The sequence below is a fragment of the Homo sapiens genome, chromosome 21, assembly GCF_000001405.40.
Source record: "Homo sapiens chromosome 21, GRCh38.p14 Primary Assembly".
Taxonomy (NCBI): domain Eukaryota; kingdom Metazoa; phylum Chordata; class Mammalia; order Primates; family Hominidae; genus Homo; species Homo sapiens.
In genome coordinates, this window is record NC_000021.9 from 42,567,438 (window position 1) to 42,582,670 (window position 15,233).

At 50.0% G+C, this 15,233-nt stretch overlaps 1 protein-coding gene and 1 long non-coding RNA gene across 20 annotated transcripts in view, besides 1 other annotated feature; one reads left to right on the forward strand and one right to left on the reverse strand.

Moving 5' to 3' along the window:
* The window catches only part of SLC37A1 (solute carrier family 37 member 1), an 81,805-nt gene extending 67,816 nt beyond the window's left edge, over positions 1-13,989 (forward strand). For 7 of the 19 annotated variants that reach the window (NM_018964.4, NM_001320537.2, XM_017028379.2 and 4 more), the window contains 4 exons: positions 923-1,001; positions 7,381-7,478; positions 12,299-12,363; positions 12,908-13,989. In NM_018964.4, the coding sequence (NP_061837.3) occupies positions 923-1,001; positions 7,381-7,478; positions 12,299-12,363; positions 12,908-12,923 (258 nt within the window). In that variant the 3' untranslated portion in view covers positions 12,924-13,989. Of the gene's footprint in view, positions 1-922; positions 1,002-7,380; positions 7,479-8,329; positions 8,520-12,033; positions 12,364-12,907 lie in introns of those variants that run through there. The other 12 variants (XM_047440846.1, XM_047440848.1, XM_017028383.2 and 9 more) reach the window with 3 other exon arrangements.
* Positions 4,285-5,028: an enhancer, noted in NCBI's record as "H3K4me1 hESC enhancer chr21:43991832-43992575 (GRCh37/hg19 assembly coordinates)". NCBI's record gives its function as "activates a minimal SCP1, AML or CMV promoter by ChIP-STARR-seq in primed H9 embryonic stem cells {active_cell/tissue: H9 hESC(primed)}" and the evidence as "EXISTENCE:reporter gene assay evidence [ECO:0000049][PMID:30033119]".
* On the reverse strand, positions 5,647-6,373 carry LOC101928212 (uncharacterized). Its single transcript, NR_171773.1, has 2 exons — positions 6,280-6,373; positions 5,647-6,162 (listed from the first exon to the last, which is right to left on the reverse strand). It is a non-coding gene; the product is annotated as an uncharacterized LOC101928212 (long non-coding RNA).

A 15,233-nucleotide genomic window follows, 5' to 3' on the forward strand; every position in this document is an offset into this window, starting at 1 on the left:
GGTCACCTTTGTATTGGACGTGTCCTGAAACTGCCTGAGTGTGCGTGAGCATGCAGACTTGTGTCTACATGGGCATGGAAAATTCTGGAAGGATCCACATCAGACCATTAGCAATGGTCAGCCTTCACGGGGTAGAGGCAGAGGAGAGACTTTCACTTATTTTTTAGACTTCAAAATACGTAGGTTCTGGATGATTTTCATATTGTGTGTTCTTTATTTTATATACATATTACGTGCATATACAAGCATTTATTTTTTTGAACGCTGGTTCATTTTTATAGTTTTAGGCTTCTAGGCACTGTTTCCCCTGATCTTTTTCCCCTCCTATTGTCCTCATTTTGGCTTTTTTCCCATTGTCTATGCAACATTTTCAAAACCAGAGCTCCTGGCGGCTGCTCACCGAGGACCTGCGCCAGCCTTGGTTTCTCAGCTCTCCCCTCCTCCCTTCTTCCCCTGGCGTTTGCTATTGATCAGGTTGAATTTTAGGTCCTGCAGAGACATCTGACAGGGGTCCCAGGAAGGCCCTGGCTGTCGAGGAATCCAGCAGACACGTGGATGTGTCTGGGAAGGAAGGCCGGCGCAGCTCAGGGCAGGGGCGCGCGTTGCGCACCTTCACGCCTCTCACGCTGGCTGCTCTGGGGCCTCAGGGAGGAGCAGGACTGTGCGGAACAAACGTTTTTTATTTGAAGAGAATCCTAAGAGTTCTTGTAACTAGAACCAAGCATTTCTGATGACTTTTGACTCTTAAAAACCCTTGAAGTTTTAACTCTCCAAGGCAAGCTTGGGGTGGAGTTTAAATAATGGGAAACACCCTCACGATGAGTTGTTTTGCAGAGCAGTTTGAGTAAATGGTCATACAGAGGCTTAGGTTTACTTCTCATGCTGTGGCGATAACTGCACGTCTGTTTTTCCTCTCTTCTAGGGGACTCATAAAAGTCTGAAAGGCAACGCGCACGCCCTCTCCACCGTGACGGCCATCATTGACGGGACGGGCTCTGTAGGTGCGCAGAGAGTTTTAGCTCTGGGAGGTTTGGTGTCTTAGGGGAAATCACATTGTCACATGCTCGTGAACAGGTACCCAGGGTTCCAACTGCATCTATAACATTGGGTGGGCCGGCTTCTTACTATACGAGCAGATGAGCAGGGGACATCGGCACACAGAGATGGTCACGCATGCCTGGGTGGCTTCAGAGAGACGGGCGTGTGACTAGCTGTGCGTGTCCAGGTTTTCACCCGAGGCAGTGGTTGGCAAACTACAGCCCGTGGGCTAACTCAGGTCCACTCATTATTTATCGCCTTCATCTCAAGAAAGGCAGAATCTTATTTAAATTACAGAAAAACCAATTGGTCCAAAATCATACAGGGTTCTGAGTGTTACCAGCATCGTCGAAGCTCTTGAAGAGAATTCAGTGGCATATTCTGGAATTTAAAAAGGTGGCAGAATAAGCAAGCCATCCCCTTAGGGAGCAGGCAGGTGGAGCTGGCAGAGTGCCAGTCTCCTCGCCCATGTGCAGCCTGACGGCACGGCTGTGGCCTTCCCTGAGCCCTTGTATGGGGAGCACGCACAGTGGCTGCACCTGCCAGGCGAAAATCAGGAGTTGCCACACCTGCCAGGTGAAGATCAGGAGGGTCCTTCCTACATGGGGGACGTTATGGGGGGCTGCCTGGTGTGGCTGTCACAGCTAATAAGGAGGACCTGGGGTGCCAACCTGTGTGTCACTTGCTGCGTGGGGGTCTCCAGTAAAGCCGAGTGTTTGGTAGATGAAGGTGGCTCGGTAGACCCAGGTCAGCCAGAACCTGGTGCTGGAGCCTTCCCACTGGCTCGTGCAGGGAGCTGATGTTGTTCTTGGCTGCCCCTGGCCTTGGTGCCAGCAGGCTGGAAACATCACAGCACGTTTCTGGGTGCCCACTGCTGTCTCAGTGATGCAGAATGCAAAGCCCTCCCGCCACATGGCCTCCCTGCTGCTCCTCCGAAGGCCAGGCTGGCCCCCGTGCGGGCTCTTTGCTCTGGTCACACCCCGTGCCTGGGAAGGTCCCCACAGGTGACCTCGTGCCGCACTCCCTCGTGCCGCACTCCCTCGTGCCGCACTCCCTCGTGCCGCACTCCCTCGTGCCGCACTCCCTCGTGCCTTGAGTCTTTGCCCAGATATCATCCTCTCAGCAAGACTTCCTGGGACCACCCTGCTGAGAACGCGTGAACCCTTCCGACTCGGCCTCCAGGCCCCTCTCCCGGGTCTGTTCTCTGGAGCGCTCTCCCCATCCGCAGTGGGATTCGGTGCACTCCTCTGTTTTGTCTCCTCTGTCTCCTGCCACTGGAACGGAAGCTCCAGGAGGACGGGATTTGCCTGATTCTTTGCTGTATCCCAGTGAACTGAATGAGCTGCTCCCAGACAGTTAGAATCGCAGCCGGGGCCCAGGCGGCTGACTGCACAGTGAGGAGCCAGGCCGGACAGGCCCCAGGCGCCCCCGCCCAGCCCTGGGTGGCGGGAACCCCAGCTCCACGCTGCTGCTGCTGCGTTTCCTTGTTCTGCGTTTCCTTGTTCTGGCCTTGTTCTGAGAAGCGGCGGGCAGGGTGGCCGTTGCCATGTGACACACGGCCTGATTCTGAGAAGCGGCGGGCAGGGTGGCCGTTGCCATGTCATGCGACACACGGCCTGGTTCTGAGAAGTGGTGGGCAGGGTGGCTGTTGCCATGTGACACACGGCCTGGTTCTGAGAAGCGGCGGGCAGGGTGGCCATTGCCATGTGACACATGGCCTGGTTCTGAGAAGCGGCAGGCAGGGTGGCCGTTGCCATGTCATGTGACACACGGCCTGGTTCTGAGAAGCGGCAGGCAGGGTGGCCGTTGTCATGCGACACACGGCCTGGTTCTGAGAAGTGGTGGGCAGGGTGGCTGTTGCTCAGAAAGCCACACTTTGGCTTTTGCTGTTCACCAAAGTGAGACCAGACCAGCCTCGTCTCTGCCCTTCATGTTGGTTCCTTCCTTTCACTGGATCCAGAGGGGCTTTGAGTGTATTGGGTGGCGGCAGTAGTCACCCCTCTGATCTTCTGTCTTGGGCATCTCAGTAGGAAGTCGGGGGACTGCGGGGCTGAGCTCAGTTCTGGTTGACGTTGTGACTGCGTGGCCTTCTCTTGGCCTTGTGCCTCAGTGGACTGCAGTCTGCAATTCGGTCTGACTCTGCTGTGAAACCCTGTTCTTAAAGCTAACTTGGCGCTCTACTGGCAACCCCGATTGCTGTTTTAAAAGCAGAGGATCAGCATAAAAAAAGAGAAGGAAATCATGAACTAGGTGAAAAAACACATTTTTCTTCATATTCTCAAAATGAGAGGGAAGCAGAAGTCTGTGGCTAAGGGTGGAGACCCTGCGTCTGTGAACAGAGGCCACTGCCCACCACTGCCCCCAAGCAGGTGGAGGGAGGCACAGTTCTGAATGCCTTTGGCCCCTCACAAGGAAGGTGGCACACACACCGGACCCCCTCTGGCCTTCTGTTAACCTGCACCAAGTCCTGACTGTCCGCGGAGCTGCCGCGCCCACCTTGATGGCTGCTGCGTTACACCAGAGGCAGGACCAGGACCTGACTCCTCCAGGCTCCACTGCCCATCAGTGCCTGCTGCCTGCTCAGTGAATGGTCACCATGGAAACGGCGCTCAGGCCTACCCACCCCCACCACCACGCCTTGGTCATTGTTCCTTCCATGAGTGAGTGCTGCCCAGCAAGACAAAGTACAGGCTCCAGTGGGAAGGCCACCATGTCAGCCAAGTCCCTTCCCGAAGGAGGTGCCCGCATGCTTATTCAGTGTCACTGTCCACTCCTTGGCAGTGACTCGGGTGGAGGCGAAACATGACTAATCGTAAATCACCCCTGCCTTCTCCCAAGTGCCACACGGTTTGTTGACACGGTGTGCGCCTGGGGCGTTCACAGTGCTTAGAATCGCAGAGGTTGCCGTTTCTGTACATTTCATGCAGAGCAATTAAATAGGGCACTGCATTTTTCTTCAAGTTAATTTTTATTTATTAAAGTAAAACATAATGTACCTTAGAAGCTAGACAGTCCTACAAGCTTATTATGTTGTACAGCGGCGTTCCGTCCCCCTCCCCAGCCCTCTCTTTCTAGAGGCAGCCAATTTCAGCTGCCTCTCTCTGCTTACCTACGTATTTCCATGTTTCTTGGTTCATCATCTGAACGTCATCAGCTGTGCTCCTCTTACGGAAGAGGGGACCTGGCTCCCTTCCACCCCGACATTGCCCACCCCTCCTCCTCCTCAGTTATACCAGCCATGCTTCTGCCCTTCACTTTCCAGCCAAGAAACAAACTTTAATTATGCACCCTCAATAGATACATCTTGTTTTTTCCCGGGTAAGTAAACATCTCTTTTCCTCTTTTTCACATTTCCGACAAAGTTCTTCCTTCCCTGCACCGTGGTCGCCATCCTGCCCTGCCCCACCCCTTTCACGCCATCAGCCTCACTCCGCCCACTGCGCGGCTTGGCCCCAGAGCACCTGTCACCACGGTGCTGGGAGTCCCCCTCCTCTCTTGCCTGCGACACAGCCCTAGCAGTCTAGACCCCTGTTTACCACTCCTGTGGTGGAAACTGGCTCCTAGCAGCTTCCTGAGTTAGGGGAGGTGGGTTCTGCAAGCTTACAAGTGCGTGATGGCTGGATTCTGCTCTCGCCTGAGGCAATGTGGACGTGGAAACACCTTCTCTTCAGAACCCCCGTCTTCCAGCCTCCATTGCTGTCACTGACACGTTCACAGACATTCTGACCCCAGCCCTTGCTTTCTGACCTTCTCTTTTTTCTCTTAGATCTCCAGGTTCCCTTCCTTACCCCGGGAGCCTTTCTTCATCCACCGTCCTGGGGCACCTGGTGGCACCTTCAGTCTGGAAACACCTGCCCTTCACTTTAGGGGAATTGGGCCCCTGTTCGTTTGATAAGTTTTCCTACCATTTTCTGATTTGTTTTTTCTTTCTGGAAAATGTATTAGTCAGATGTAGGCTTTTCTGGATTAATCCTTCAACTTTCCTTTCTTTCTTTCCCTTCCTGCCTGTCTCCCTGTTCTTTCTTACACTTTCTCAGGGAGATTCTTGACTGTATTTTCCAACTTTGTATCGACCATTTTACTTTTCCTGCCATATTTTCAATGTTTACTGATGTTTCTCTGCCCTTTCAGTGCATCCTGTTTTATTTCATGTTAGACTGAATCATGTGAAATTGATAACAGGTTTTCAGCCACACACACACAAAAAAAAAAAAAAGAGTGTGTCCTGAGGTTCAGCTTAGTCTTCTGTTGGCTCTCTGGGGGGAGGTTCAACTTAGTCTTCTGTTGGCTCTCTGTGGGTGCTGTGAGCTCTGGGAATGTTCTTCTCCTCCAGGCTCCCTCCTGCCAGCTTGCTTGCTTTCACGTTGGGGTGTTCCCCAGACACAGGGCAGACCTAGGTTGCCCCTTCATCACTTCCCATGGAAGAAGGGGCCCTGCATAGTGGTTTGAAGTCTCTCTGTGGGGACAGTGTGCTGGCTGCTGGTCTCCAGGCAGTGGGACCCTGCGGAACCTGCAGGAGGAGACTCCTTCAGTGCCCAGGGGAGCCTGGGTCCAGCTGCCAACATCCTTGCCATGGCATGGAAGCTTGGTGGAAGCTGGTGTCTTTCCCCAGATCCCCTGTCGCCTGTTAGGTGAGCATCCCTGTCCTGCACTGGGCTTAGTGTCCCCACGGGTTAAGCTGCGCTGTCCTGCACGGGGGCATCAGGAGGAGTCTCTTTATCAGTGAGGATGAGAAAAGAGACCTGGGATCCGAGGTGCGGCAGAGGGAATGTAGCTAACAGTTTGTGATAAAAGACTCAACCCATGCACCTTTTTTCTCTTGCTGACCCCCTTCCGTTCCCACTGCGTTCCTCCTTCCTTGCCTTCCCCTCCCCTGTCTCTTGGGCTCCGCTGGGCCTCGCTCTGCTCCAGGTGTCCCTGTGCTGTCTCCCTCTGAGGATGCTCAGTGGAGCAGGGAACACTGGAGGCTGTGTTAGCTGTCAGCCCTTCTGTGTCCATCTTCCAAAACTACGTGCCCTTCGGTGGGAGGATTTATCATCTTTAGAAGTCAGTGATGGCGCAGTTCATGTTGCTTGGGGGTGTGGAGATAACACATGAGTAGCCGACCATGTTTACCTGGAAGTTCTGAGAATTAAAAAAAAAAACATACAATTGCTCCTGGGATTATAAAATAGTAAGTGCACTTTGTGAACACTTGAAAAAAACAAGTGCCTAGGGCATGAAAGACCCTGGTTATCTTACCTCTCAGAGTTGAATATGTCAGTTCATAGGTTGGTGGAAATTCTTCATGCTTTTTCCCATGCATCTACCAAAACAGGCCATCCTACATGTGTATCAGAATTCATTTCAGTCCCTCTTGGTAAAATGCACCAGATGCTACAAAACACATTCTTAAACAGCAGTCCTTGGGCATTTAGGGGGATACGTTATTTGTTTTCATCATTTAAAAACACATCTTGACATAATTTCAGACTTTGAGAAAGTTGCAGAAATAGTACAAAGAATTCAGACATTTTAGTACATGTGGTTCATCATGCACCCGTGTTTTTACACACACACATGCACACACACATATATGCACACACACATGCATAATTTTTCTGAACCACTTAAGAGTAAGATGCACACATGCTGCCCCTTTCCTCGTAACTATTCAGCATGTACTTCCTAAAAACAAGGAGTTCCATGACAGACCACAGTGCATGATCAGAATCAGAAAGTGAGCATTGAAAGAATATTAGTATCTACAATTCTTATTCAAATTTTACCCAGTTACATTTTTATAGCATAAGAATATCTAAGATTGTGCATTGAATTCAGATTTCCTTACGTGTACTCAAGAAAATAATGGGAGTGTTGGATGAAAAGAATGAACATTGCAATGTCAACACACATTTTTAGGATGGTTCTGGGAAAAGGCTGTGCCAGCTCTGCCTTCCCAGTACGGAGGCGTACAGGTGGAGTATCCTTATCTGAAGTACTTGGGACCAGAAGTGGTTATGTCTTTTTATTTTTTCAGATTGTGGGATATTTGCATTACACTGGTTGAGCATCTCAAATCCCAATTCTGAAATGCCCCAGTGAGCATTTCCTTTGAGTGTCAGCACTCAAAAAGTTACAAATTCTGGAGATTTTGGATTTCAGGTTTTCAGATTTGGAAGGCTCAACCTATACTAGGCCTTGTACCCGCTCCCAATCTGATAGGCCAGGATGAGGTAGTGTAGTTCCATATGTGTTCCTTTCATTGTGAGTGAGGTGTTGAGCCCCATTCTCTGTGGCTGCTAGTTATGTGCTGGGATTTTCTCTAAACAGCACCATGTGTGTCCATTTGCCTGATTTCAGGAGCAGCCCTGGGCCCCCTGCTGGCTGGGCTCCTCTCCCCGTCCGGCTGGAGCAATGTGTTTTACATGCTGATGTTTGCAGATGCCTGTGCCTTACTGGTAAGTCGGCCTATTTTTAGTCCAATCCACCTTGAATGCAGATCTCTGTGGTTGTGTCCAAACACTGGTGGAACTTTCTCCCATGCATTCCTGAGTTATCAGAGAGGTTTGGGTCTTCCCATCTTTTCTAAATATGCGTGGTCTAAAGCTCCTTCTCTCTCTGATTAGAAAAAGTCAGAAACAGAAGCAGGACAGTCTTGCTCTGCAGCCTTGGGCGGGATAGCACAAAGGCCAGGAGCGTGGAGCTCCGTGGCTCTAGATCCTGCCTGTCACCTGTCATGTGTGTGACTTGGGCAGGTTTCGTAACCTCTGCTCCACAGTTTCCACAGCTTTAAAATGGGCATGATAATGGCACCCAGTGACAAGATTGTTGTGGGAATTAAAGCAGATGATACACAGAGCCTGGCCTCCCAGTGGTCATCAGTGTCCTGGTGTCCCTCCTGCAGCCATGCTGTCAGACGGCGGGAGCGGCCCCAACTTCTTTCACCTGAAGGGATGGGAGAGAATAAAGGAGCAAAGAGGTTGCCAGTGCAGACACTGAGTCGCCTTCTGGCTTCTGCCCCCTTTTCTCTGGGCTCCTGCTTCTGTGCCCTCCTGTGTTGAGAAAGTTTGAGGTTTTCCCCTGGGTAAGGAAGACCAGTGATGATGTCACAGTCACATAGATGTGCAGCTGTGAGGGGTGCATACACATCTTTACAAGTCACCTGGCCACAAAGTCCCCAGACCCACAGCCATGCCTCTCCTCTCACTTCACCAGACAAAACCTTAGGCTGATCCCAATAAAAATGAGTTGAGAATTTCAGAAATATCAACTCACTCAATTAAATGAAAGTCTTATATTTTAATTCCAGGAAATTCTAAAACTCAACTTCCCCACCACATACAAAATCAAATACCGACTCTCAACCTATGAACTTACTAGGTTTAAATGGCTGTTCTTTGGATCATCTGTGGGTTCTTTTAATGCCTGAATGTTCTAATGAAGCCTCCAGATGGATTTCCACTAAGTAGCAGTAAAATTCCTGTCATTACAACTGTTCAGAGAATCTGAAATATCTTCTTTAGAACTATCTGGTAATATATATTGAAAATTGTTTTGATGCTTAGCCAAACTCATAAGAAAGTAAAGGAACTCCCCAGGAGCCAGAATTGTAAAGGCAATATAAATACACAAGCTCAGGAATCAACGGGTTGGGGTGGTTGTGCCCACACTGGGTAAGAGACAAGGCGTTAGGCTGGCACAAGATGAAGATTTGGAACTGGAGACTTCGTCATAGAGCCAGGACCCTCGAAGAGCCATGCTTGCAGTGAAAGAGTATACTAGATGATATCTGCACACTGGCACAGGAAGACAATGGGAATCTGCCCATCTTAGCCAGATTAGGGGGAAGAAATCTCCCTTGAAAATTTTTAGCCATAGACCTCCCCACAGTCAGCTTTAATCTTTGAGCTTATATAAATATATTTTAAATGAGCAAAGTTGGTCCTTAGGCAGTAATACAGAAGCAAATAGGGACAAATCTCAACCCTGCAGCATAGGATTTCTGTAGCTAACACCCTACAAAAGATGAGCTCACAATCCAAAATAATGAAACATAAGGAAGCAATCCACATTGAATGACAGTAACAGACATAAAAAATGGTGGAATTGGACTCCCCCAAAACTGCAGATAAAAGAGTTATGTAAACTAAAAATAAATATATGCAATGTTACTAATGACATAAGAAAAAGGAACTGACCTCATGAAAAAAAGAACAAGACACTATTGAAAAGACAGAGCAGGCTTCAAAAACAACCAAACAGGAGTTATAGAAATGAAAAATGTGATCTTTAGCCTGGAAAAAGACTCAATGGATGGGTTAGAAAAGCAAATTAGATACCGCTGAAGAGAAGATTACTGAAGTGAAATATAGATATGAAGAAATTATCCAGAATTCAGCACAAAAAGAGAGATGGAAAATATTAGAGAGAAATTAAATATAAAATGGAGGACCAAATGAGATGGCCTAAAGTTATCTGAAAGTAATTCCAGAGGAAGATGATAGACTGGATTTGAAGCAATATTTTAAGACAAAATAGCTGAGAATTTTCCAGATACATGAAAGACAAACATTCTTAGATTCAGGAATCAAATGACTTAGAATTCTGTACCTAGATAAACTTGCACACAAGAGTAAGGGTGAAGTGAAAACATTTTTAACCAAAGATGCTCCCAGCAAAAATTGCTAAACAATGTATTTAGAGAAGGAAGATAGATCCAGAAGGAAAGTCTGAGATGCAAGGAGAAATGCAAGCAAAAAAAAAGTGATATTCCTAAGGATGAATCTAAAGGAGTATTGACCATATAAAATAGGGGCCAGCTAACTGTGGCCTATTTTTGTGTGATCCTCCAGCTGGGAATGGTTTATATTTTTAAATATGTCTTTAAAAAATCAACAAAAGAATGTGCAACAGAAACCATATGGCTGCAAAGCCTGAAATATTTACTATCTAGACCTTTACAGAAAAAGCTTTCTGACTCTCAGTTTAAAACAACAGCAATAATGACTAATTTGGGCAATATAAAAAAGAACTGAAATACTGAAAATGTAAGGTACAAGTGGGACAATGAGAGTTCCAGTACACTGCAGTTCTTATGTTGTCAAGCCAATAGCAATAGAATGTGTAACCTTCAAGGCAATACAGGGAAATGAAGACTTAATCTAAGAGAACCTAGGGTCAGGGGAAGCATAGAAAAAAACAGGGTAAATACAGAAATACAGAGCAACATGGATGAAAATGATCCCAGCATGCCAGCAACACAGTGACAATAAATGGACTTAAACTCATCAGTTAGGAGCAGAGATTGTCAGGTTGCTTTTAAAAATACAGGCACTGGTTATTTACAAGAAACACACCTGCTACACTGGAATTCCGAAAAGACAAAAGTAAAAGAATGGGAAACTACACGACAGGTAAATAATAACCAGAGGAAGCCGGATTTGCTGCGTTGGAAGAAAGAGACCTAAAGCTGAAGCACTTGGGAGACGGGGGCTTGTCGCAGTGGAGAAGGAACTATACCAGGATGTGCAGCAGGTCCGTGAGCTTGAGTTGGGCTTTTCAAACCTAAGAACTAGACATACCTTTTTCTCTTCACTGATCAACATGCTTTTTGGTATCTTTTCACCAAAATAGACAAGTGTTTCCTCCCGAGTCTGGAGCTGAGAACCTCCATGATCTGAGCAGGTGTCCTGGGGGGCCAGAGGGCACCATGCTTCCTGCCTCACAACACACACTGATGGCCAGCTCCAGGGCCTGCAGGACTGCCTGGCGCACGACCGAAGGCCTCAGGTCTCCAGTGCGTGTCGCCTGGGCTCCTGGAGTTGGTAGGGCCCCTCCTTGTTGGTCATTCTTGCATGCGTGAGCCAAACACGTGGGCATGTTTTGAAATTGGATCTCTGTTCTTCAGAACTGTCACCATTTACAGTTCATCCCGTACCCACAGATAACACTTGCTACTATATTCTTCATCTTTTTCTCTCTTAATGATCAGCTTTTCATAATCATAGGCCTCTTCGGGCTAGCACTTTTCATACATCACACTTGGCAGGATGTAGATGTGGGTAAGGTACCAGCTCAAACACAATAAGCCTGTGCCGGTAGTTGGAGCTAGAGGTTCAGATTCACACAGATGGATTTATTTAACAAAAATCTTGCTATTGTCACCAGCACTATTGTTCGTACCTGCCGTGTTCCCACGACCTTTACCACCTAATTGTCGCAAACACCTTTCATGCACCAAGCAGAGCAGCTGGATGCATCTTATCTGTAGGAGGGGCCCCTGTTCTCTCCAGCTTGAACTCACCTCATACAAGGGACTCCTAAGCTCCTACTTGAACCACAAGCACCTAAGAAAATAGAAGAGTTTCTGCCTTCTAGAGCTCTGGCCTGAGGCTTGGTGGTGGGGCCATGTGTTTGGTTTTTAAGTAGCCCCTCGAGACCCTCCAGCACCCCTTCCCTGCCTCCCCTGGACCAGTGATCCACCCTGGGTCTGAGGGCATCTGCTGCCCTCTAAGAACGAGGGGCCACGTCCAGGGAGAGCCCTCCTGTGGGCTGATGTCCCACTTGGGGAGAGACTGGATCCACACTGGAAAATGCACTAGTTAAATTGGAGGTAGCACAATCATTTGTCTGGATTTGTAGGCTGGCGTTGAGCCCTCAAACATGTGAAGGGCACGGAGTTAAAGCTCTGGGTCCGGCGAGGAGCCAAGGCTGAGGCAGTGATGTTGGTGGAAAGCCCTGGGCCCCGGCCAGGCCTGGCCTCCAAGGGGCTCCCAGTGGGGTGCGGCTGTCCTGTGACAGCCTCTTCAGACCCCAGGGCTGGCGCCAGAGGAAGTGCTCACCTGGCTTTAGAGTCACCTGAGAAGCTCGCAGGTCCACCCACTGGGCCACCCGCATTATGGTCCTCTTGTCTTTATTTCCTTTTTCCCACTGTGGACATTTCATGATTGGATTAATTTTAGTCTAAACGTGACTTGAACCCAGAAGTAGTTCAGGCTGCATCTCTCCCAAAAGCCTTGTTTTCAGGGCAGCTCCTGGTTCTTCGTGGGCCTTCATCAGACAGCCCTGCCCTCATCAGACAGCCCTGCCCACAGGAGCCCAGGCCTCCGGCTGAGCATGCAAGCCCCGCTGCTCTTGCAGGGAGGCCACCCCAGGGAAGGTGCTGTGGGGAGAGAGCCACCCGCCCAGGCCTTGCGGGCCAGGTCCTCATGGTGCCCACGGCGCGGGCCGCCCTGTGCCTGCTCCAGTAACAGGTGGGCTCACCTTTGTTTTGGTGCAGTTCCTGATCCGCCTCATACACAAGGAGCTGAGCTGCCCAGGGTCAGCTACGGGGGACCAAGTTCCGTAAGTCCCACTCGGGCCCTGTCTCCGTGCGTGAAAGCCGGCTCCAAAGTGCCTTCTGTCCTATCTGCCTTCTGCACCTGGCTTTCCTGAAAGAAAGAAAACGCGTGGCTTATCTTTTCACGGCACGCCACCTTCACTCTCACTTTTTCTTTTCTAATAAATACCTCTGGATGGGTTAGTGGTAATCTCTCCTCAAACCCTGAGTGGAAAATGTGAGGGAATTGCCGTCTTTGGCATTCTGTTGGAGCTGCAGCCCCCCGAGCTCTCCTTGCCTTCCTGCTCGCCCCCTTCTCCCTCCCTCCTCTTTTCCCTCCCCCCTTGGTCCTCCCTCGCTCCCTTCTCACTTCTTCCTGGCCCCCAGAAGGCTGCGGGAAAGGTGCAAGGGTTTATCCAGCATCCAGCACCCCTGCAGGAGAGGAATCCCTGCTGGGCCGGGAGGGCAGCTGGCTCCCCATAGGATTTGCACATGGTGTGTGAAGTTCAGCATCTCTTGCTGAGCCACTGCTGGCTGTTAGAGCAGCTCTTCTTTCAACCTTTCTTTCAGATTTAAGGAACAGTGACACCCCACCCCAGTCCCGTGGAGGGGGTCTGGGCCCACCCTTCACAACTGCCTTTCAAGGACAGTTCAGACAAAGGGCCCTGCATGGAAAGAGTGACCTCCCTTTGCCTTTTGCACACGCACCTGGAAAAGACACAGAAGCCAACCTGAGAACCCCTGGTGCTATTTTAAAGGAGACATATTGCTGAACAGCAGTGAGAAAAGTCTGCAGGAACTGCTGCCTGAGCCAAGCCAGAGAACCGAAGACCCGGCCGGCCCTGGCCTCACAGGCGTGTGCCCATGCAGCCACCCAAATGCACGCGTGACAACAAGGCCGGGAGGGTGGGGGGGGTGCACAGGTAGCCCCGACCCTCTCAGGCATTCCAGCCACAGAACATCAAAGTGAGCGAGTACTGCGCTGGCTGTGGCTTCAGAGAACCTGTATGTGCCACATGGAAAAACAGGACACCAGAGCCCACCAGACAGTGCCGGCCAGCAGAGAAGCAGAGAGCCAGCGCCACACAACATCAAGAAGGCCGACAACCAGGTTGGAAACCAAGACGGAGCTCAGACCCACCACATCGCCCCAGAGGCTTTTCCAGCACCCATGATGTTTCGGACTGACCTAAAAACTAATTGTCGAGAAGCCAAGGGTGAGGAGGCAGGAAGCACCTCCGGTTGGAGGCACCCAGGCTTGCCAGCCACAGAGCGCCCCAAAGTCACCGTCATCCCAGCCCCTGGCCTTCCTGCTGCCCTCCGGGGCCATGGCACTGCTGTTCAGCTCAGGCACAGGGGCACAGCAGAGGTTTGGGAAGCGGTCTCCCCACCGGCACTGGGATTGGCGGGTCCAAGCCCAGCAACCGGCTTCGCTCCACAACACACACCACACCTGGGACTGTTTTTAATACATAGCAACAGACTGGGTTATTTATTTAAGATGTGTATTGTGTCATATGAAGTTTAAGAGACATAAATGGCATTTTGTTATTTATTAAGACAAACTCCAATTGTTCTCTGGCTGTTTTTTTCAGTTGTGTCTAGCAAAATACTTATCTGCCCTTTGAAATAAAATGTTTTTGTTTAAAAAATCTCAGAACACTCAGAGAATGTTGATGATTTCTGCTTACATTTCCATTACGCTAAAAAAGGGAACTTCCAAATCGTGTTGTGTGTTTTGGGTTTTCTCAGGCTTGGACACATTGAGGTTTCTCGGGTTTGGACACATACTGGGAAAAGACCATTTCCAGCAGAAAAGGGGCCTACCTCTCGGTCCCTTGTTTGCACAGAAGGCCAAGCTGAAGTAAACAGCCATCTGGGTATTTTATAAATCACGCAGTTTAAAGAATATCCTAAGATTTGTCCTTGACGAGGAGGTGTCACACCCCGTGGTGGTGGGGAAAGGTGCTGACCTTGGGAACTACATGGTGGGGTCCAGGCTTTCAAACGTCCTCAGAATGCTGACCGTCCAGATGTGCATGGTGCGGGCTTTCTCTGGATGGAGTGCTGTGGAAGTTCACTTGGGGACCTCTCACAGCAGCAGGGCAAAGGTCAGAAACAACACACTGTGTGTCCCGCAGTTCTCAGGGGCCTCCTGCTTGAGCTCTGCGGAGAAGCCCACAGGAGGAACAGACCTGGCTGTGGCGGCTTCTGTGTGCCAGCTGCCCCACTAGATTGGCTCACTCTCTTTTTAATGGCAAGTTATTTATACATTTAAAAGATTTCTGCTAAAAAAGAACTTCCCTAAACACCAAATGGATGGAGTGTGTTTCCCACACACGCAGCGCACTCAGCTTGTGCTGGCCTTTCCCGGTCCTCCACCCAATGCTTCCCGCTCCTGGGAGCCTCCCACTTTCCCTCTCTCCCTGACCTGGCTCCAGGCACCAGTCCAGCCCTCTCCCGCTGGTGTCACAGTGGCCTGGGCTGCCCTGAGCCCCTGCCGGCTGCCATCCCTGAGGACGGGCACCAGCCCCGTGCTCACCACAGGGCACCTCTTCCCTCTGGGTGTGCAGCACTCGTATCCATGGGGTGAACAAGCGAGGGATGACGCAGATGGCACAGTATCATTACAGGATGCACAGAGGGCTTTTTCCATAAACAAAATTCTTTGCATTCACTGCCCCCTGCCTCTCCAGAACTGTCCCCTCTGAGGCCTCATCTAGTCAGAGGCCCAGGGCTGGTGGGCCGGAGCGGACCTTCCTCACCCCATAGCCACCAGCCAGCATTCAGCACAGCAGCTTTGAGGTGGCGATCGCTATTTCCCCAACTCAATGAACTAAAGTACTAGAAGAAAATCTCCCACAACTCACAAAGGAAGAGCAACTTCCCATTTCTG